General features: G+C 38.8%; 1 protein-coding gene and 1 long non-coding RNA gene across 7 annotated transcripts in view; one reads left to right on the forward strand and one right to left on the reverse strand.

The window, feature by feature from the left end:
* The window catches only part of PPP3CC (protein phosphatase 3 catalytic subunit gamma), a 100,048-nt gene that overhangs the window by 18,060 nt on the left and 57,756 nt on the right, over positions 1-24,232 (forward strand). For all 6 annotated transcript variants that reach the window (XR_007060744.1, NM_001243974.2, XM_047421941.1 and 3 more), the window contains exons 2-3: positions 15,817-16,014; positions 16,363-16,487. Coding sequence is in view for 5 of the 6 variants with exons in the window: in NM_001243974.2 (NP_001230903.1) it covers positions 15,817-16,014; positions 16,363-16,487 (323 nt within the window). In the remaining variant the exon portion in view is untranslated. The remainder of the gene's footprint in view (positions 1-15,816; positions 16,015-16,362; positions 16,488-24,232) is intronic.
* LOC124901905 (uncharacterized) overlaps positions 22,399-24,232 on the reverse strand; it is a 72,590-nt gene continuing 70,756 nt past the window's right edge. Inside the window, exon 2 of the long non-coding RNA XR_007060851.1 lies at positions 22,399-23,592. This is a non-coding gene — a long non-coding RNA (uncharacterized LOC124901905). The remainder of the gene's footprint in view (positions 23,593-24,232) is intronic.

The following is a 24,232-nucleotide window of genomic DNA, read 5'->3' on the forward strand; positions in this document are numbered from 1 at the left end:
CTCACTGCAGCCTGGAACTCCTGGGCCCAAGTGATCGTTCCGCCTCCACCTACACCTCCCAAGTAGCTGGAATTACAGGCACATGCCACTGTGCCCAGACCATTTTAGTGATTTGTTATTTTTTAAATCTCTATTCTCTTTTTAATACAGAGCTGCAAATTTCTTACTTTTCTTTAGTGCAATCCATGTGTGAAATATGTGTTATAATTTGTAACTAACAATATTTGAAGTCCTGAAGTTTTTGAATGATCTTGTATGTAAGATTAGAGTAGATTCATGGTTCCCACTAATAACCACTTCATTATTATCACTTTGTTATGTGTGTGTGTGTGTGTGTGTTTAAAGAGATAAACTTATAGGTGGTTTATCTAGAATTGTGTAAAATACTTTCATTTTCATGAGAGAGTATCTTGCATGTGAGTATTATTTGTCACATGTTATGCCTACATTGTTGGTTGGACTTAAACTTTAGTGACCTCTCAGAGATTATTTTCATTCTAGTTCATGTCATATTACTTTGATATATGTATTAAGAAGAAGTACAAGAGATTATTTAATGCTATTGTCTGAATGTTTGTGACCCCCCAGAATTTGTATGTTGAAATCCTAATCCCCAATGTAATGGTATTAGGAGGTATGGTCTTGGGGAGGTGAAGTTTTTATAAATTTCTAAAAGAAAGTATAGGAAAAATCTTTGTGACTTTGGGGTAGACTATTTTCTTAGATAGGTCATAGAAGGCATGAACCATAAACGCTGACAATTGGACTTTTGAAAAATTGTTCTTCTAAAGATGTTTAAGAAAATGAAGAGGCAAGCCACAGAATGGGAGAAAATATCTATACTGCATTAGTGGAGTTTACTACTAAATTAAGAAAACATTAGAAGATTGTCTATATAGTATAACTGATTATAAAATAATGTATTTACATATTTAAAATATTAAGATATATACTGACATCTTAACAGTAGTTGTCTTTGGCTGGTGAGATTCTAAGAGTTTTGTTTTTGTGGTGGTTATTGTTTTTTGTTTTGTGCTCTTTTAAAAAATTGTTTTGCCTCAAGTGTATAGTATCTTTGATTTATAAAAATCTTTAAATAAAGATAGGATAGTTTGAAAGATTAGCAGAATGTTTACAATCAATACTTGATACTACATGGATAATACTTTCCTATTCTATTTTTGTAAATTCTGTGCTTGAAAATTTCAAAGAATTTTTTGTGTGTGAGTGTGTGTTTTGAGGTGGAGTCTCGCTATGTTGCCCAGGCTGGTCTCAAACTCCTGTCCTCAAGTGATTTTCCCATCTTGGCCCCCTGTAGCATTGAGATTACAAGCATGAGCCACCATTCCCAGGCCAAAACTTTCGAAACTTTAAAAAATAGCATGAAAACCTTTATTTTAGTCCAGGTGCAATGGCTCACATCTGTAAACCTGGCACTTTGGGAGGCTGAGGTGGGAGAACTGCTTGAAGCCAGGAGTTTGAGACCAGCCTGGGCAACATGATGACACCTGTCTCTACAGAAAATTTAAAAATTAGTCAGGTGTCATGGTGCATATCTGAAGTCCCAGCTACTCTGGAAGCTGAGGTGAGAGGATTGCTTGAGGAGTTCGAGGCTACCGTGAGGCATGATCAAGCAGCTGCACACCATCCAGCCTGAGTGACAGAGTGAGAGACCCTGTGTCTAAAAATGAAAAAAGAAAATCTTTACTTTATTTATTTATTTTTTGAGATAGAGTCTTGCTCAGTTGCCCAGGCTGGAGTGCAGTGGTGTGATCTCGGCTCACTGCAACCTCCACCTCCCAGGTTCAAGTGATTCTCCTGCCTTAGCCTCCCGAGTAGCTGGAACTACAGGTGTCTACCACCATGCCCGGCTAATTTTTGTGTTTTTAATAGAAACAGGATTTCACCATATTGGCCAGGCTGGTCACGAACTCCTGACCTTGTTATCCGCCCACCTTGGCCTCCCAAAGTGCTAGGATTACAGGCGTGAGCCACCGCACCCAGCTGAAAATCTTTACTTTATTTACAGCACTTTGTGAGCCATATTTAGCAAACATAGTTCCACATATGAAGTTTGTTTTTAATGATAAGGGGTTTTTAAACTTGATTTTTAGTATAAATACACAGTATAATAAAAGTTTGTTTACATTAGATATGAAGCTAATTACCACCCCTAACTGCTGGCTGGTTTTCTAGAATTGTAGAAGCAGGTGGTGAATTTTCCTGTCTGCTGATATCCAAAACACTCTGATTCCTGGGTAAGTTCCAGCAGTATTGGATGTTGGTAATATTACTGTTGGTCGATTAATTTATGATAGTATTATATACATCTCTAAAGTCTAATTCTATGTATTTTTTAAGTAAATAGTAGAATAACATGGCATAACATTTTAAAAGGTATGTGGTAAAAAGTCTTCCTATTCCTAACTGTCAGCCACCAGTTTCCTGCCATGGGACTGTTAAATCTCACCACCAAAGACCACCAAGAAAACATCTGTAGTCAAAAATAAGTTACACTGATTTAGCTTGCTGCAGGAAGGAATAACATACATCAGAAGAGCTGTGGGACCTCTCAAAAGGATAGAGTTAGGAAAGAGGACATACAGGATTTTAGGAGCTGTTAGTCACAGAGTAATGTTAGGATAAAGGTAGTAGTCTGGGCAGGGATTGGCTAGAATATGTAATTTGAGTGAGTTGCTGGAACAGCCAGTAGTTTTGCCTCTAGGACACATAAGTCCCTGAGGATTTACTGTTAGATCAGTTTGTGGTACTAGAACATACGGGTATGAGTGAGCTGATATTAATAAAGGTTTGAGGCTGGGCACAGTGGCTCACACCTTTAATCCCAGTGCATTGGGAGTCTAGGATGGGAGGATCGCATGAGGCCAGGAGTTTGAGACTAGCCTGTTTAACTTAGTGAGACCTCAGTCTTTAAAAAAATTTTTTTAAAATTAAAATTAACTGAGTGTGGTGGCACACACCTGTAGTCTTAGGTACTTGGGAGGCTGAGGGGGAGGATCACTTGAACTCAAGAGTTGGAGACTGCAGTGAGCTATGATCATGCCACTGCACCCCAGCCTGGGTGACAGAGGGAGACCCTCTCTCTTAAAAAGAAAAAAAATAAGGTTTGAGCTTAGATGGCCTGTGATGCACAGTACATTGCGGTTTGGTTTGGTTCAGTTTATCTGTTTTGCAAGTACTAAGTGCTTTTCTGTGCATCTGCAAGCAATTTGTAGTGTAATTTCAGTTTTGTTTCACTTTTTAATCTCTGTTTCTGATCATTCGTCCGCTAAACTGGAACATTTACCATTTAGGGGAGGTGATCAATCAAGATTTCAAACTGTCGTTTGATGGGTTGTGAATGTTTATAAAGCTTTGATGGTAGACATTTTGGCCTCTACAGGCACCAGGCCATTTTGTTCTTTTTTTTCTTTTTTCTTTTTTTTTTTTTGAGACGGAGTCTTGCTCTGTTGCCCAGGCTGGAGTGCGGTGGCACGATCTCGGCTCACTGCAAGCTCCGCCTCCTGAGTTCACACCATTCTCCTGCCTCAGCCTCCTGAGTAGCTGGGACTACAGGCACCCGCCACCATGCCAGGCTAATTTTTGTATTTTTAGTAGGGACGGGGTTTCACCATGTTAGCCAGGATGGCCTCGATGTTCTTTTTCTTAGATGATAATTTGTTGAATCAGCTGGTGTGACAGTGGCTGCACAGCAGCATTTAAGACTCTAAAGATCACACACTTGGCATCTGCAACACACTGAAACTCAGACAGTTATTATTAAAGTTTAAAATAATGTCCCATATATCCCATAATCTATTTGGATTTTCCTTTGGGCAACCAAATATATTTTTTTTCCTTTAATTTGGATATGGGTCATTCACCTTTGCAACTGTCCCATATTTGGTTTATATTTTGCCAAGGATAAGCATCTTGATAGTGCTAACAGTAAGGAAAAGTTATCTGTTAGCAGCCTAAAATCTTACAACAGTGGAGAGAGAAGAAAATGCCAAGAGAATAAAGGACAAAATCATGCAAGTCTGTAGTCATCAGTGGCTTCTGGCATCTGGGAGGTTGTGTTCTGATTATCTTGGACATAAATAGTCTATTCATTTTATCTTCTGCTTCTGGACCATAACAGTTCTGGAAATCTTGGCTCACCCACTGTTTGTCCATGGCAATGATGTCGGCAGTATGCATCATTAATTTATTCTCTGTAGTGTCAGTAATGGGTGCATGATACAAACATTTACAAAAGTTCTTTTGATAAGTCTTCCACAAGGCTCAATTCCTATCTTTAGCTTATAGCCAGGAACTTTAGATGAATGTAAGGAAGAAGCGGAAACCACCTGTGGATCATGGGACTATAGGCTTTAGTTGATTTATTATATTAACCAGCATTATCAGAATGGAAGGGAGTGGAATCTTCTATTGCAGAAAGTACATAATGAATTTTATGAGTAGTCACTGATTATCCTAGAAGTAAGAATATCTCACAAACAGGGAGGACATTGACAGTCTCTAGGACTTTCTTTCATTTATCCTATAAAGTGTATTATGAGTTTCACCATTCCAAGTTTACTGAAACCTAGAAATAAAATCCTTTTTTAGATAGCTATTGTGGCAGTCTTTGTACTCGAATGTATGTTTTCTTTTTTTTTTTTTTGAGACGAAGTTTCTCTCTTGTTTCCCAGGCTGGAGTGCAATGGCATGATCTCGGCTCACTGCAACCTCCGCCTCCTGGATTCAAGCAATTCTCCTGCCTCAGCCTTCCAAGTAGCTGGGATTACAGGTGTCCACCACCAAACCCCGCTAATTTTTTGTATTTTTAAGAGAGATGGGGTTTCACCATGTTGGTCAGGCTGGTCTCGAACTCCTGACCTCAGGTGATCTGCCTACCTCGGCCTCCTAATATTTTCTTTAAGCCGAAAGATACTTAAATGTTGAAGTATATTTATTTTAACCACATTTTATTATACATGATTAAATTGGGAAGGCTTAACTTTCCTTATGATTTGTGAGGTTTTTTTTTCCCTTTAACCCAAATTTAATAAAGCAAAGAGTTCTCACAAAAGTTTTAAGTTAATTAAAATTCAGAGTATGCCAAACAAAGCTAATAATTTTTATAATCCTTTAAAAAATTTTTAATAAAGTAAAGGACTAAAGCTTTGTTTTACCTAGTGGCCATTTATTATAAACCCAAAGATGTAGTAGGTGTAAAAGACATCTTAACAATTTCTTATTATTTACTTATTTTTTAGAGACAGGGTCTCGCTCAGCTGTCTAGGCTGGAGTGCAGTGGCTGGATCATAGCTCACTGCAGCCTCAATCTCCTGGGCTCAAGTGATTTTCCTGCCTCAGCCTCCTGAGCAGCTGGGACTATAGGTGTGCACCACCACACTCAACTAATTTTTGTGTTTTTTTGGTAGAGACAGAGTTTCGCCATGTTGCGCAGGCTGGTCTCGAACTCCTGAGCTCAAGCAATCCACCCACCTCAGCCTCCCAGAGTGATGAGATTCTTTTTATAGGTGTGAGTCATCATACCTGGACTACTTTTTGCTTTTTGACTGATGATTCCAAGAGCCTTTTCAGTGTTTAGCACATAGACGTAGATAGTTGTAGTCTTTACTTAAGTTTGAATGAAGTGAGTTATGCGTGGGCTGAGTTCACTCAAAGCTTGCCTCAGCTGGGATTATTGACCATATACCCACTTTACTGGAGAATGAGTATGCCAAGAGACCGAGGCAGAATCTGCAAAATCACTTCTGCTGCAATGTATTTGTTAAAGCAGGTCACTAAGGCCAGTTCAGATTCTACGGGAGAGACATTAGACTCTCCCTTTTTTTTTTTTTTTTTGTCACCTAGGCTGGAATGCAGTGGTGCTATCTTGGCTCACTGCAGCCTCGACTTCCTGGGCTCAAGTGATCCTCCCACCTCAGCCGCCCAAGTAGCTGGGACTCCAGGCTTGTGACACCACATTCGGCTAATTTTTGTTGTGTTTTTAGTAGAGACGGGGTTTCACCATGTTGCCCAGGCTGGACTCAAACTCCTGAGCTCAAGCATTCTGCCTGGCTCAGCCTGCCAAAGTGCTAGGATTACAGGCATGAGCCACTGGGCCTGGCCTTAGACTCTACTTCTTGATAGGATAGGGTCAGGTCACTGCTATGCTTTAAATATGATCCCCAGAAAGCATATGTTGGCTGCCTGGGTGATGGGTATACTAGAAGCCCAAACTTTACCATTATGCAGTATATCCATGTAAAAAAGGTACACATATACCCCTTGAATCTGAAATTTAAAAATAAAATAAGTATGTATTAGAAAATTTATCCCAAATGCAGTAGTGTCGGGAGGTGGGGCCTAATGAGAGGTGTTTAGGTCATGAAGCCACCTCTAATGAATGCATTAATGTTGATTATAAAAGGGCTTAAGGCTGCAAGTTCTATCTCTTGCTCTCTCTTATCCCTCTTTGCCCTTCCACTATGGGATGATGCAGCAAGAAGACCCATGCCAGATGCCTGGCCCCTCAATCTTGAACTTCTTAGCCTCCAGAACTATGAATGAGTAAATTTCTATTCATTATAAATTATCCAGTCTATAATATTTTGTCATAGCAACACAAAACAGACCAAGACAGTGAGATTACAGAAGAGTATGTAGAGTGAGAAATATTATTGTAGCCATTTTTTTTTAGTTTTTGCTTTTTTTAAAAAATTATTCTTTAAGTTCTAGGGTACATGTGCTCAACATGCAGGTTTGCTACATAGGTATACATGTGCCATGTTGGTTTGCTGCACCCACCAACTCATCATTTACATTAGGTATTTCTCCTAATGCTCTCCCTCCCCCAGCCCCCCATCCTCCGACCAGCCCCAGTGTGTGATGTTCCCCACCCTGTGTCCATGTGATCTCATTGTTCAATTCCCACCCAAGAGTGAGAACATGTGGTGTTTGGTTTTCTGTCCTTGTGATAGTTTGCTGAGAATGATGGTTTCCAGCTTCATCCATGTCCCTGCAAAGGACATGAACTCATCCTTTTTATGGCTGCATAGTATTCCATGGTCTATATGTGCCACGTTTTCTTTATCCAGTCTATCATTGATGGACATTTGGGTTGGTTCCAAGTCTTTGCTATTGTGAGCAGTGCTGCAATAAACATACGTGCACATGTGTCTTTATAGTAGAATGATTTATAATCCTTTGAGTATATGCCTAGTAATGGGATTGCTGGGTCAAATGGTATTTCTAGTTCTAGATCCTTGAGGAATCACCACACTGTCTTCCACAGTGGTTGAACTGATTTACACACCCACCAACGGTGTATTTCTCCACATCCTCTCCAGCATCTGTTGTTTCCTGACTTTTTAATGATCACCATTCTAACTGGTGTGAGATGGTATCTTATTGTGGTTTTGATTTGCATTTCTCTGATGACCAGTGATGATGAGCATTTTTGCATATGTCTGTTGGCTGCATAAATGTCTTCTTTTGAGAAGTGTCTGTTCATATCCTTTGCCCACTTTCTGATGGGGTTGTTTTTTTCTTGTAAATTTGTTTAAGTTCTTTGTAGATTCTGGATATTAGCCCTTTGTCAGATGGGTAGATTGCAAAAATTTTTTCTGTTTTTGCTTTTTGAGATGGAGTCTCACTCTGTTGTCCAGGCTGACGACTGTAGCTGACTGCAGCCTCAACCTATTGGGTTCCAGAGATCCTTCTGTGTCAGCCTCCTGAGTAGCTGGGAGTACAGGCAGATGCCACCACACCTGGATAATTTAAAAAAAAAATTTTGTAGAGATGGGGGTCTCACCATGCTGCCCAGGCTGGTTTCGAACTCTTGGCTTCAAGCAGTCTCCCCAACTTGGATTCCCAAAGTGCTGGGATTACAGGAGTGAGTCACCATGCCTGGCTGGTTGCAGCCAGTTTTGGAAAATAAAATGTGCTACAGACATTGTAAGGGCAAAATATTTAACAATAACTGAGATTTCTAAAAATTGCAGATTGGCTAAATGTTAATAAATTATGATCTAAGTAAATTATATCTACCTAGGAGAAAATAAAAAAAAATTTATGGTATTTTAAGGTATTTATTTATGTACTTATGCATTGAGATATTTGCCATCAAAATTTTTACTAGTGCGTATAAGTACCTAACACATAGTAGCAATTCAATAAAATTATTTGAATGAATTAATTGAGGATACTTTTCGATCATAGTTTTTATGGTGAGAGTTTTCATTTTGTTCTGTCTTATTTTTATGTGTATTTTAGTTAGATGTTCGCTTAGTCTATTCAAGATGTGTTTTTTGTTTGTTTGTTTGTTTTGAGACAGAGCATTGCTCTGTCGCCCAGGTTGGAGTTTCAGTGGTGCGATCTCAGCTCACTGCAACCTCCACTTCCTGGGTTCAAGTGATTCTCCTGCTTCAGCCTCCTGAGGCAAGCACGCGCCACCACACCCGGCTAATTTTTTATTTTTAGTAGAGATAGGGTTTCACCATGTTGGTCAGGCTGGTTTTGAACTCGACCTTATGATCCACCTGCCTCCGCCTCCCAATGTTCTGGGATTACAGGTGTGAGCCACCGCCCCCGGCCTGTTCAAGATGTTATAACAAAATGCCTTAGACTGGGTAATTTGTGAACAACAGAAATTTATTTCTTACAGTCCTAGAGGCTGGGAAGTCCAAGAGTCAGCTTGCCAGCAGATTGTGTGTCTGGTGAGGGCCTCTTCCTTATAAGTGGCACCTTCTATGTGTCCTCACGTGGCAGAAGGGACAAACAAGCTCCTTTGGACCTCTTTTGTAATGGCACAAATGCCATTCATGAGGGCAGAGTCCTTACGACCTAATAATTTCCCAGATATTCCACGTCTTAATACCACCATGTTGGGGATTAGGTTTTACCTATGAATTTTTGGAACATTCAAATCATAGCAGCTGTTAAGAAATGTTGAATCAGAAGTTTCTAGTCATTCTTTTTTTTGTTTTTTTGAGGCAGAGTCTTGCTCTGTCGCCCAGGCTGGAGTGCAGTGGTGCAATCTCGGCTCACTGCAACCTCTGCCTCCCGGGTTCAAGTGACTACCCTGTCTCAGCCTCCCGAGTAGCTGGGATTACAGGCGCCCGCTACCACGCCCAGCTAACTTTTGTATTTTTGGTAGAGGCAAGAGTGTCACCATGTTGGCCAGGCTGATCTCAAACTCCTGACCTCAGGTGATCTGCCTACCTTGGCCTCCCGAAGTGCTGTGATTACAGGCGTGAGCCACTGCACCTGGCCAGAAGTTGCTAGTCATTCTAAACTGGAAGCTTGACATAATATTTTGAATCAAGCATTTTAAAAATGTCTGCTTTTCATAAATAGTTTATTTTTACATATTTATCCCTTTCATTTAGGAAAGAAGATTCATGAGTTTTTTTTTTAATCAGCTGGCAAATTAGAGAAAATATTTATACAGCTTCTAATAGGCATCTCAAATTATTTTGAAACATTGGGAATATATCTTTTGTAATGTTTTGCTTGTAATAATTGAATAGATTTTCTCATTTGGTAATAACTTGGAAAATACAAAGTGGCCCATTTAAAATGGACTCTGATTTAAAGGTACTGTTGGAGGCATTGGTGACGGGCCATTTTTCCTTTTAAATAGAGAAAGTATGACAATCTATTTTCAAGAAACTGCCATAGCAATATTTTTAGTCTCATATGCTCGCACAGAATTTTGTCACTCCCCACCAGTAGGTGGAATCTATTTCCACTCTTCTTGAACCTGGGCAGGCTTGTGACTGTTCAACCAATTGAATATGGTGGAAATAATGTGATGGGATTTCTGAGGCCATGATATAAATAGGATACAACTGATCCAGCAATCGCACTACTGAGTATCTACCCAAAGGAAAATAAATCAACATGTTTATTGCAGTACTATTCACAACAGCAAAGATACAGAATCAGCGTTGAGTATCTATTAGTGGATGAATGGATAAAGAAAATATGGTATATATACACAATGGAATATTGTTCAACCATAAAAAAACAAAACAAAATAATGTCACTTACAGCAACATGGATGGAACTGAAGGTCATTATCTTAAGTTAAATAAGCTAGGCACAAAAAGACAAATATCATATATTCTCACTTATATGTGGGAGCTAAAAATTTGAACACATGGAGGTAGAGAATGGAAAATAGATAAGAGAGACTGGGAAGGGTGAGTGGGGGAAAGGGGAAGGATGAAGAGAAGTGAGTTAAAGGGTACAAACATACATTAAGATAGGAGTAGATTCAATGTTTGATAGCAGAGCAGGATGACTATACCTAACAAAAATGTATTGTACCTGGTGATGAACATCCTGAAGACCCTGGCTTAATACTATGCATAATATACATGTAACATAATTCCTCATGTAATCTGTAAATTTGCACAAATAAAAAGAGGGAAAAAAAAAAGCTACAGCTTCTTCCTGGCTCTCTCTTTGTCTTGGGATGCTTGTTGTTGGAACTAAGTCATACGAAGAGGCCACATGTGGGTATTCTCTTCAAAAACCTGAGCTAAGCTGCAGCCAACAGCCAGTATTAACCACAGTATGAGTGAGAAAGCTTTCAGGTAATTCCAGCCCCAGGTTGTCGAGTATCCTGCTGAGGCCCCAGAAGTTGCGGAGCAGAGACAAGCCAGCCCCACTGTGCCCTGTCTGAATTTATGGTCCACAGAACCTGTGATAGATAATAAGTGATTATTGCCTTAAGCCACTAAGTTTTGGGGTAATTTGTTACATGGCAGTAGATAATTCATATAATTTCTAGAAACTTATAGGGAAATAAAGATTTGCTCAAAGACATATATATATATATATATGTGATATATAAATGATCCATGTATATATATATGATATGGGTGATATATATAAAATAAATATGGGTGATATATATATATACACACACACACACACACACACACACATACATATATATATGTTCTCTGCTGTATCATTTATTTATGTTTTCTTTTTTTTAGAGGCAGAATCTCACTCTGTCACCCAGGCTAGAGTACAGTGGCTCAGTCATAGGTCACTGCAGCCTTGAACTCCTGGGCTCAAGCGTTCCTCCTGCCATAGCCTCCCAAAGCACTGGGATTATAGGTGTGAGCCACGATGCCTGGCCCTGCAGTATAATTTACAATTTTTTGAAATAGTCTAGCTATCCAACAATAAGAAAATGTTTAAATAAATTATCATAAGCACACTATTTTCCTAAGTAAAATTTCTACATTTTCTATATTCAAAAACAAAGTTTAAAGAATTGGTATATAGTCAATTATGTCATAATGATAAACCTAATTGAATTATATATTTACATAAATAAAGATCATTAAGAACAAAAAAGGCTTTACATCTGATAAAGGACATGTACCCAGAACATACAAGAACTTTCGTCAGTCAATAAGAAAAGATACTAAATGTTTTAAATGGACAAAAGAATTGAACAAGCACATCCCCAAAGAAGATATTCAAATGGCCCTTAAGCAAGTAGAAAGGTCCTCAACATCACTACTCATCAGGGAAATGCAAAGTAGAGAACAAAGAGATACCGGTAGACGTTCACTGTACTGGAATAAAATTTAGCAGATGAGCAATATTGAGTGTTGACAAGGATATGAAGTAACTGGAACCCTTACACCTTGATGGTGTGAGGGTAAATGGTATCACTTTGTGAACTGTTGGGTAAAACCAATGTTGACCCCATAAACTTTCAGTCCCATTCTTGGGTATATACCTAAGAGAAAAGAGTGCTTATGTCCACCAAAGCACACATAGAATTATATTCATAGCAACTGTATTCATAATGGCTCAAATTGGAAAGCTGCTCTAGTCATACATTGTCTGCCCTTACCTTTATTAACGCAGTAGTGCTTAGCATGTAGCTACCTGTGTTTAGTTTAATATGTATTATTAATGAAAATTTATTTAGGGGATTTCACCCCCAATTTTTTAACTTTATGGTTTCAAATTTCTTAAAACCTTTCTCTTTACATCAGTTTGGTTTTGGAAGACTAAAAGAAAGAGCTTGTTGCACAGATGGCCCAAAGCACAAATTATTAAAATGCTAACTTTTATCTACATCCAGCTCCAAATATTCCCTTACTCCTTGATCATTCTTTTTTTTTTTTTTTTTTGAGACTGAGTCTGTGTCACCTAGGCTGGAGTGATAGATGTATATATGGTCCCCTATTCTAAGGTAATACAGTCATGCATCCGAGAAATGTGTCATGAGATGACTTTGTCATTGTGAGAACACCATGGAATGTACTTACAGAAACCTGGATGGTGTAACTGCTATACACCTAGATGGTGTAACTACTACTATGCATAGTCTATATGATATAGCCTATTACTTCTAGGCCACAAACCTGTACAGCAGGTTACTGTACTGGATACTGTAGGCAGTTATAACACAGTGCTAAGTATTTGAGTATCTGAACATATCTAAACATAGAGAAGGTACAATAAAAACACAGTATAAAAGGCAAAAACTGGTACACCTGTATAGGGCACTTAACCATGAATGGGGCTTACAGGACTGGAAGTTGCTCTGGGTGAGTCGGAGGTGAATGATGAGTGAATGTGAGGGCCTAGGACATTATTGTACACTACTGGAGACTTTATAAACTTTATAAACACTGAACACTTAGGCTACACTAAATTTAAAACAAATTTTTCTTGGCTGGGCATGGTGGCTCACTCCTGTAATCCCAGCACTTTGGGATGCTGAGGTCGGCAGATCACTTGAGTCCAGGAGTTCAAGACCAGTCTGGGGAGCGTGGCAAAACCCCATCTCTACAAAAAATACAAAAATTAGCCAGGCATGGTGGCGCACACCTGTAGTCCCAGCTGAGGACTGGGAGGCTGAGGTGAGAGGATCATTTGAGCCAGGAGGTTGAAGGTGCAGTGAGCCATGGTAGTGCCATTGCACTCCCATCTGGGCAATAAAGCGAGATCCTATCTCAAAAACAAATTTTTTTTCTTTAATAATATATTAAACTTAGCTTACTGTTAAGTTTTTACTTTATAAATGTTTCAGTTTTTAAAAACTTTTGGACTTTTTTGTAATAACACCTAGCTTAAAAGACAAGTACATTGTATAGCTATAGAAAATAATTTTTCTTTATATCTTTATAGGCTTTTTCTATTTAAAAAGTTTAAATTTTTTTTTAACTTTTAGAATATTTTGGTAAAAATGAACACACACACACACACACACACACACACACACACACACACACACTGAGCCTAGGTCTACACAGGGTCAGGATCATGAATATCCCTGGCTTGCCCCCCTACATCTTTATCCACTGGCACACCTTCAGGAGCAGTAACAGGCATGGAGCTGTTATCTCCTAGGATAACAATACCTTCTTCTGGAAGTCCTCCTGAAGGACCTGCCTGAGGCTCTTGAGGAGATGTCACTCTTTTCAGAAATTTGCCCATGGTGTTTTGCTTGGTTTATTTCTATTTTTCATTGTAGATTTGTTTGTAAGCAGTTAATGCAGCATGAACATTCCTGTGTATTAATGAAAACCTTTCTGTTTTTGGGGGTCCATGTTTTCACACTTCCTAAGGAGTTTGTTGAGGTGTGCAAAAGCTTCTCCCAAACCCTTCACTGTGAGTTTTGTTGGGGGTTCTTTTTCTTTCTCCAGCAAACTTCCTTCTCTCTTGCTGCTTCTTCAGCTTTGCATTCCTATTCCAGTTCCCACTCATTAGTCAATTCCTGCGATGTTATTGTGGCTATAACGTTACTAGATGACAGGAGTTTTTCAGCTCCATTTAACTACAGTCCATTGTTGACCAAAACATCATTTTGTGGCACACAACTGTATTTAGCTATTTTAGTGGTTGGGTAGCTGCTATCGTTTTTTCAGTGAAATTTGAGTAGTTAAAATGAGTCAAGTAGTAGCTGAAAGCATGACGAAACTTATAATAGGACTTTCTTTACTTGTAAATGATACAATATGGTATGGCTAGATTAAGTCTTTTAAAAATACTCATAGATTTCAACTTGGTTCCATAAAGCTGGAAGTGGAAACATTGGACATATATCAGAAATTCAATTGAACGCCTCCTTTTAAATTTATGGTTTACAGACTTGTGGCTCTTAGATCCCAGGGGATCTAAAGTAGACTGTGTTATAAAGTAGGCACATAACAAGACAACAGCCAATTTAAAAATATTAAATGAACTTGCTAATTCTCCATGATATTATATATATAAACTTTGTACCTAATGTAAACTGAAGGTAGTTATTAGCATTTCCAGGTTAGAAAACATAACTGGACTTCCCTTATCCACTTTTTTTTTTTTTGAAACGGAGTCTTGCTCTGTCGCCCAGGCTGAAGTGCAGTGTCACAATCTCGGCTCACTGCAACCTCCATCTCCCAGATTCAAGCAATTCTTCTGCCTCAGCCTCCCAGGTAGCTGGGATTACAGGTGTGTGCCATCACACCCGGCTAATTTTTGTATTTTTAGTAAAGACAGGGTTTCACCATGTTGGCCAGGCTGGTTTTGAACTCCCGACCTCAGGTGATCCACCTACCTTGGCCTCCCAAGGTGCTGGGATTACAAGCGTGAGCCACACCACACCCGGCCCCTTATCCATTCTTTTATGCTCTGTTACTACAGCAAATTATTCTCAGACATAGCTCCATCTTGGTAGTAGTGTTCTTGTTATTATCAGTAACAAAGTACATTAAGCTACTGCCTTTTGTTTTATTCTGTTTTGTTTTGTTTTATTTTGAGACAGTGTCTTGCTCTGTTGCCCAGGCTGGAGTTCAGTGGCGCGATCTCAGCTCACTGCAACCTCTGCCTCCCACGTTCAAGCGATTCTTCTGCCTCAGCTTCCCGAGTAGCTGGGATTATGGGCACTTGTCACTACACCTGGCTAATTTTTGTATTTTTAGTAGAGGTGGAGTTTTGCCATGTTGCCCAGGCTGGTCTTGAACTCCTGACCTCAAGTGATCTGCCTGCCTCAGCCTCCCAAAGTGCTGGGATTACAGGCGTGAGCCATGGTGCCCGGCCGAGACTTCTAAAACATAGGTGTCATTAGGACAGTTCTATAGGAGAAATAAATGCCATTTTAGTATTATGACTACTTTTCTTTCATTTTCTTTAACCATAGTTTCATTTTTAACACCTGTTCTATAGATAGAAAAACAAAGATACTCATGTCATCTAGTGTCTTGTCTCATTTATAACTTGTTCCCTGAATCAGCTTCAAGTCTTTCATGTTTATGTGTAAAACATAGGGCTGGGCGCAGTGGCTCACTCCTGTAATCCCAGCACTTTGGGAGGCCGAGGCAGGTGGATCACCTGAGGTCAGGAGTTCGAGAGCAGGCTGGCCAACATGGTGAAACCCTGTGTCTACTAAAAATGCAAAAATTAGCCAGGTGTGGTGGCATGCTTCTGTAATCCCAGCTACTCAGAAGGCTGAGACAGAAGAATCGCTTGAACTCAGGAGGCGGAGGTTGCAGTGAGCTGAGATCGTGTCACTGCATTCCAGCCTGGGTTGACAGAGCAAGCCTCCATCTCAAAAAAACAAACAACAAAAACCATTATAATTTATGCACACACAAATATTTAAAATGACTGTCACCTTTTTATACTTAGAATTGATCATTTATGATACATAGTATCTTAGAATTTTTTCCCCACGTACTGGTGCTGTGGATGTGAAATCATGGTGATTTATTAGGTTTAATTTGTCATGTAAAAGAATTGTGTTCTGTTTGTTCTCTATACATTTAAATATTTTAAATTATTATTATTATTTTTTTGTAGCTGTCCCCTTTCCTCCAACCCAACGGCTTACTTTCAAGGAAGTATTTGAGAATGGGAAACCTAAAGTTGATGTTTTAAAAAACCATTTGGTAAAGGAAGGACGACTGGAAGAGGAAGTAGCCTTAAAGATAATCAATGATGGGGCTGCCATCCTGAGGCAAGAGAAGACTATGATAGAAGTAGATGCTCCAATCACAGGTATAAAAAGTCTTTGCATGATACTTTTTTACAGTATAGATTTGCATGAGCAGTTTTGAGAAATAATTACAAATAACCAGCTAAAAAGTGGTGTGGTAATTTTTCTAGAAATTATGAGACAGTCAGGATTGGTTAGGATATTTGTTGTTAATTGAAGAAATACAATTTTAAGTGTCTCATATTTCCAGTAGAACTATTTAGTATGAGTAGATTGACTACAGTTTTACAGCAGTCCTGTCAAAAGCTGGAGTGATTTAAGTTAGAAGTTAAACTGTGATCCCTTTTGGTGTAATGCCCTTCGTCTTCTAAGGTATAATTTCTCACATCACTTTATGCTTTTTTTCCTAGTATGTGGTGATATTCATGGACAATTCTTTGACCTAATGAAGTTATTTGAAGTTGGAGGATCACCTAGTAACACACGCTACCTCTTTCTGGGTGACTATGTGGACAGAGGCTATTTCAGTATAGAGGTAAAAATTAAACTGGATATGTTGGGACTATTATATTGTCTTTCAAAAAAGATGATTTCCATTCTTCAGTAGAAGAAATTAAAATGAGAACTCTGGCAGAATTTATAAACTTTGTTACTTTCAAAATTAAAGTAGTAGAAATGTTTTAATTGATAGAACAGTTATTCCTTTTTTAAAACCAGTCGAAAATCTGACAAATAGGCTATATATTAATATTAACCCAATTTTACAAATAGTTAAATGTTCACCAACTTTTCCTCTTGAAGATAGTATACAGGATTGTATAAAAATGACATAAATTGCTGTTCACCCTAAATGGGGTTTAGATTAGCTGACCTTAATTATAAGACCATAAGCTGCTGAGCTACAATTAACACTTAGATTAACTGCCAGTGCTAAATAAACACTAAGCTTTTTGTAGGAATAATGTCTGGTACTGGTACACATAGTAAGCACTTAATAAATGTTCACTGAAGGGGAAAAATGAGTTGTAGTTAATTAAAACTTATACTTTCCTTTTATATATTTTGAAAATGGAAAGATAGGAACATGTTTAGAATTAAATAGAAGCTTTAATGTGTAAAAGATAAAACTACTTTAGAACTTTATGCAAGGACTTGAGTACAGTGGAACCACAGCACATTCCTAGTTAATGTTCATTGATTCAACTCTACATGCTGGCAAATAAAAGAGAAAAAAACTTTTGAAATAGCGTGGGTAATAGGATTTGTAATGTGACCAAGAATAAGCATGAGCTGAGAAATTGAGTCTGCTTTCTGTCTTGCTGTCTATAGTCCTGCCTGCCCTCATTGTGTGAGAATCTCACTGTACTAAGTGTGTTTCTGGTGGTTAAAGGTTTATTGTCTTGCAGCCTCACTCCTAAATGCAAGTCAGCTCTCTCACCTGATGCCCAAGCAAAGGAGCAGCAGTTGCTCTATTGCTGTAGAAAAAATAAGCAAAAAAATGGATTTTTAGTTTTCTGTTAGATAGGCAATCTAAATTCATGAATCAGAAAAGTTCAATGTTGGCCAGGCACGGTGGCTCACGCCTGTAATCCCAGCACTTTGGGAGGCCGAGGCAGGCAGATTACGAAGTCAGGAGATCAAGACCATCCTTGGTAACATGGTGAAACGCCGTCTCTACTAAAAATACAAAAAATTAGCCGGGTGTGTAGGCAGGCACCTGTAGTCCCAGCTACTTGGGAGGCTGAGGCAGGAGAATGGCGTGAACCTGGGAGACGGAGCTTGCAGTGAGCTGAGATCACGCCTCTGCACTCCAGCCTGGGCGACAGAGCGAGACTCTGTCTCAAAAAAAAAAAAAAAAAAGTTCAATGTTAGTTGCCAGTGCACAAAATTCATTTAGTGTCAAATGTGAGGACAAAAGTTAAAGGTATAAACTGACAAAATAGTAAAGCCCATTTTTCCTTCTGCTCCGTAAATGTCCAAGGTCTCTAAATAGGTACTGGGAATAGGTGGAGATTATCCTTGCAGACTGTATCATTGAGGAGCTTCCCTGTTGCCACTCATATCATTCATGTTTCAGTAGACATAAGTCAAATGTATGGATGTGGGGCTGCGCGCAATGGCTCATGCCTGTAATCCCAGCACTTTGGGAGGCCGAGGTGGGTGGATCACCTGAGGTCAGGAGTTCGAGACCAGCCTGGCCAACATGGTGAAACCCCATCTCTACTAAAAATACGAAAGTTTACCAGGCATGGTGGTGGGCGCCTGTAATCCCAGCTACTTGAGAGGCTGAGGCAGGATAATCACTTGAACCTGGGAGGCAGAGGTTGCAGTGGGCTATTGTGCCGCTACACTCCAGCCTGGGTGACAGAGCAAGACTCTGTCTCAAAAAAAAAAAAGAAAGAAAGAAAGAAAGTATGGATGTTAGAAAGACACATTGAGTTCAGTTTATTTCTTTGTGTTTTTGCTAGCATGAGAAGGTTTCAGACGGTAAAGATTAGAAGAATACAAAAATTACTGAATTTCTAATTAGGCATTTTATTTTATTTTATTTTTTTAGAGATGGGGTCCTGCCATGTTGCCTAGGCTGGAGTGCAGTGGCTATACACAGGTGCGATCATTTCGTACCTCAGCCTCCAACTCCTGGATTCAAGCCATCCTCCTGCCTCAGCTTCCTGAGTATATGGAACTATAGATGCACACCACTGTGCCTGGCTAGTCATTGTATTTAATAAAACAACTTTTAAAATATTTATTTATTTATTTATTTATTTATTTTTTGAGACAGAGTTTCGCTTTTGTTGCCCAGGCTAGAGTGCAATGGCACGATCTCGGCCCACCGCAACGTCCGCCTCCCAGGTTCAAATGATTCTTCTGCCTCAGCCTCCCAAGTAGTTGGGATTACAGGCACCTGCCACCACGTCTGGCTAATTTTTTGTATTTTTAGTAGAGACGGGGTTTCACCATCTTGGCCAGGCTGGTCTTGAACTGCTGACCTCGTGGTCCACCCACCTTGGCCTCCCAAAGTGCTAGGATTACAGGTGTGAGCCACTGCGCCTGGCAATAAAACAACTTTTTTTTTTGAGATGGAGTCTTGCTCTGTTGCCCTGGCTGGAGTGCAGTGGCACGATCTTGGCTCAGTGCAACCTATGCCTCCTGGGTTTTAAGCAGTTCTCTGCCTCTGCCTCCTGAGTAGCTGGGATTACAGGTGCTTGCCACCACACCCGGCTAATTTCTGTATTTTTAGTAGAGATGGGGTTTCACCATCTTGGCCAGGCTGGTCTTGGACTCCTGAACTCGTTATCCACCCACCTTGGCCTTCCAAAGTGTTGGGATTACAGGCATGAGCCACCGCGCCCAGCCTAAAACAACTTTTTAGTGATAAATTATTATGCCAAATTATCTTCTGATTAACTCGTATAACTTAAAATAGCTTTAAAATAGTTTTAATTCATTAATACATTCAATAAAGCACATAGAAAATATCAACAATGATTTTGTGCACAGACATCATGTTCAGAATATTTTGTGTTATGCATTTTTTTCCTCACTCATCAATAAAGTTTCTTGAGTGCCAACTTTATGGGCAGGCTGTGAGAATAAAATAAAGAATAAAATTTATGCTCTGTAGGAGCTTCCAGTCTAATAGAAAAGATGCACTTACGAATAGACTTTTGTTATAATATAAAATGTGCTTCTTGAATTAACAGCGTTTTTCATATTAGGACTTAGCACAGTGCCTAACACATAGTAGGCACATAGTTAATATTTGTTGAATGAATGAATGTTAATAAATCATAGTTTGTATTTAGCTTTATTCTGTTAATTAGATGTTTGCTAACTTAAAGGGTTTTTTCTGCAATAACTTCAGAGATAAATGAATCAAAACTTTAAGGTGACAATGACATTTTATACCAGTGTTAAAACCAAAGTATGAGATCTATCGAGTATTCATTGGAAGTCACTTATTTATAAACCACTAAGATTATAAACCTCTATAGGCTATAGCTTACTCTAACATGTTGCAAGTATACACTTGAAAAATAATTTTTTAATAAATATTCTTGATAGCCATGAGTGTGATGTTTTTGTTTAATAGATGAAAATAAGGTCATGGAATTCTTATTAAAATTTTTTGTTATAAATAATTTATTTTTAATAGAAAAGTTGGGAAATGCAGAATCTAGAAAACAAAAACTTTCTACAAATCAGAGATAATCACTGTTAATGTTTTATTATACTTTCTTGCAGCCTTTTTTCTTCTTTTACATTTGTATATATTTTGTTTTCAAGAAAATTGAGAGCATTTTGTACGCTCCTTTTCTGATCTTCTTTTTCCACTCAAGATTGTATGGAAAGCATTTTTCTGTATTGTTTTCTCCAGAAGTGTAGTGTCAAAGTCAAATAAAATAGAGACAAATCTCTGAAATTAAAACATTTTATCTGAGAAGAAAAAAGACCAGCCTGGCGAACATGGTGAAACCTCGTCTGTACTAAAAATACAAAAATTAGCCAGGTGTGGTGGTGGGCGCCTGTAATCTCAGCTACTTGGGAGGCTGAGGCGGGAGAATGGCTTGAGCCTGGGAGGTGGAGGTTGCAGTGAGCCCAGATCGCCCCACTGCACTCCAGCCTGGGTGACTTAGCAAGACTCTGTCTCAAAAAAAAAAAAAAAAAGAAAAGAAAAGAAAAAATGCAATTTGGGGCATACACACAGACTGAGCGGGCTTTGGTATGTCTGAAGAAAAGAGAAGGTTAGGTTTTATGAGAAAGAAAAATGTTATGTATTGCTGTTTGAGAAAGTTCATTGACACTAGTAAGGTTCTGGAGGGCTGACAAGTTTTACTTAATCTCATGTAATCAATTTATATTCTGCTTGATCTCCGTTAATAGTTTCATGAGTCCGTCAGTTTCTTTATTAGAGTTGTGGAAATTTTTATTTAGCCTATTGCACTTAATGTTATCAGCAACCTATATTTAAGAGTACTTGTTGAAGTCTTTTCCATGAATCTGATTGTGCATGTTTTTAGAGACAAAACAGTAACTGTGGATGACAAAAGCTTAGAACAGCCATGGTTAAAAATCTGATGAAAGTTTACGATTGATAAGGAATTTTGTTATTTCTATTATAGATAGCATTTTAGGATACAATAATCAGAATTAAGACTGAGTTATGAGTTATACAATTTTTATGAGTTATACAATTTTTGAAACATTTATGTTAACAACATACCCCTAAATGCAACTAAAATAAGATCTAGTATCACTTACCATTTAACAGTTTCTTATATAATTTACTAAATGAGCCTGATCATTTCATATCTCTGTAAGATGAGAGATATAGATCTTTTGAGGCTTTCCAGGGGCTGAACTGGAAAATCCCAAAGTTAATTTAATTTAATTTTATTTTTTTGAGACGGAGTCTCGCTCTGTCACCCAGGCTGGAGTGCAGTGGTGCAATCTCAGCTCACTGCATCCTCCGCCTCCCAGGTTCAAGTGATTCTCCTGCCTCAGCCTCCCAAGTAGCTGGGATTACAGCCCCCCACCACCATGCTCAGTTAATATTTGTGTTTTTAATAGAGATGGAGTTTCACCATATTGGCCAGGCTGGTCTCCAACTCCTGATCTCAGGTGATCCACCTGCCTCAGCCTCCCAAAGTGCCAGGATTACAGGTGTGAGCCACTGCAGCCAGCCCCAAAGTTAATTTTAGGTCAAAAGTACTTAATTGAGGCTGGTCACAGTGGCTTAAGCCTGTAATCCCACTGCTTTGGGAGGCCTAGATGGGAGGCTAACATGTGTCCAGGAGTTCAAGACCAGCCTGAGCAAGACCTTGTTTCTATAAAAATAAAAAACAAAAAAAGACTTAATTGAGGATTTGATTTTGGGGACGTTTGTCAAAGATGTCAAAAGGCTCAGAACATCTGATCAAAACAGAATCACACAGGTCACTATAAAATAATGGTCATTTGGCTGTGCGCAGTGGCTCATGCCTGTAATCCCACACTTGGGGAGGCCGAGGCAGGTGGATCACCTGAGGTCAGGTGTTTGAGTCCAGCTTGGCCAACATGGTGAAACCCCGTCTGTACTAAAAATACAAAAAGTTAGCCGGGCGTGGTGGTGGGTGCCTGTAATTCCAGCTACTTGGGAGGCTGAGGCAGGAGAATCACTTGAACCTGGGAGGCAGAGGTTGCAGTGAGCCAAGATCGCGCCACTGCACTGCAGCCTGGGCAACAAGAGCGAAACTCTGTCTCAAGAAAAATAAATAATAATAATAATAATAATAATAATAATAATAATGATAATATTCATTCAGCCAGTGATAAAAGATTTCCAAAGTAATACAGAAAGTTACATGGATGTAAAAACGTTAGTTTCCTTAAAGTTTAGTTTTCCTAAGTTATAAGATACCTAATGAGGGCAACACAGAAATTATCTTGATGAAATGTGGAAGTTTTGTGTTCTTTTTTTTTTTTTAATGTTTTAAATTCTGGTATACATGTACAGAACATGCAGGTTTGTTACATAGGTATACATGTGCCATGGTGGTTTGCTGCATCCATCAACCTGTCATCTACATTAGGTACTTCTCCTAATGCTATCCCTCCCCTAGCCCCCCACCTACCAATAGGCCCCAGTGTATGATGTTCCCCTCCCTGTGTTCTCATTGTTCAACTCCCACTTATGAGTGAGAACATGTGGTGTTTGGTTTTCTGTTCCTGTGTTAGTTTGTTGAGAGTGATGGTTTCCAGCTTCATCCATGTCCCTGCAAAGACATGAACTCATCCTTTTTTTTGGCTCCATAGTATTCCATGGTGTATATGTGCCACATTTTCTCTATCCAGTCTATCACTGATGGACATTTGGGTTGGTTCCAAGTCTTTACTATTGTGAATAGTGCTGCAGTAGACATACGTGTGCATGTGTCTTTATAGTAGAATGATTTATAATCCTTTGAGTATATACGCGATAATGGGATTGCTGGGTCAGATGGTATTTCTGGTTCTAATCCTTGAGGAATCACCCCACTGTCTTCCACAGTGGTTGAACTAATTTACACTCCCACCAACAGTGTAAAAGCATTCCTATTTCTCCACATCCTCTCCAGCATCTGTTGTTTCCTGACTTTTTAATGATCGCCATTCTAACTGGCATGAGAGGGTATCTCATTGTGGTTTTGATTTGCATTTCTCTAATGACCAGTGATGATGAGCTTTTTTTCATATATTTGTTGGCCGCATAAATGTCTTCTTTTGAGAAGTGTCTGTTCATATCCTTTGCCCACTTTTTGATGGGGTTGTTTGTTTTTTTCTTGTAAATTTGTTTAAGTTCATTATAGATTCTGGATATTAGCCCTTTGTCAGATGGATAGATTGCAAAAATTTTCTCCCATTCTGTAGGTTACCTGTTCACTCTGATGATAGGTTCTTTTGCAGTGCAGAAGCTCTTTAGCTTAATTAGATTCCATTTGTCAATATTGGCTTTTGTTGCCATTGCTTTTGGTGTTTTAGTCTTGAAGTCTTTGCCCATGCCTATGTCCTGAATGAAGCATATAAAAGTTTTGTTTTTTAAACAGGCTACCAAAAAGGTGAAGAAAAACCTTCTGTAGTATGATTGTTTCTTCTTATGTGATGTTCACTTACATAACCTGGAAATCAAACCGGATGAAAAGAGTACTTGAATTAATCAGACAGAGGAAGAATGTGCCCAAGATTATGAATGTTTCAATTCAGCTACGTCAAGAAAAGCCAAGATACAGTAGAGGAAAACATAGCTTTTTTAGGCTTTTAAGATAAACCTCTTAGTGTCAGATCATAACAGTCGAGTTAGAATAGGAGAAAAAAAGTTATAGGAGCAGATGAAAAAGTTGGAGAGAGTCACCTTCTAGCCAAGCAAAAAGATACGCTTTTTCAAGTGGAGAAAGAACAGAAGGGAATAATATATGACTTGCAATCATGTACAGTGAAGGACAGCAGAATTTGAACTTCTGAGGTATACATTTGAGAAGTTTCAAAAAGAAACAGATTTCAGAATTAAGTATCAAAACCTCTTGCAGTTTTACTAAGAGAATGTCAATACTTTAAGAAAAGCCCTGTTCTACAATAGGAGACCAAATTTTATAGTTTTGTATTAGTGTCTTTTTACTATCAAAGCTCAATCTTTGGGAAGACCACATGTCATTTTATTTTTTTATTTTTCAATTTTTATTTATTTATTTATTTTGACACGGAGTCTCGCTGTGTTGCCCAGGCTGGAGTGCAGTGGCGCAATCTCGACTCACTGCAGGC

This window comes from Homo sapiens, chromosome 8, assembly GCF_000001405.40.
Source record: "Homo sapiens chromosome 8, GRCh38.p14 Primary Assembly".
Classification (NCBI taxonomy): domain Eukaryota; kingdom Metazoa; phylum Chordata; class Mammalia; order Primates; family Hominidae; genus Homo; species Homo sapiens.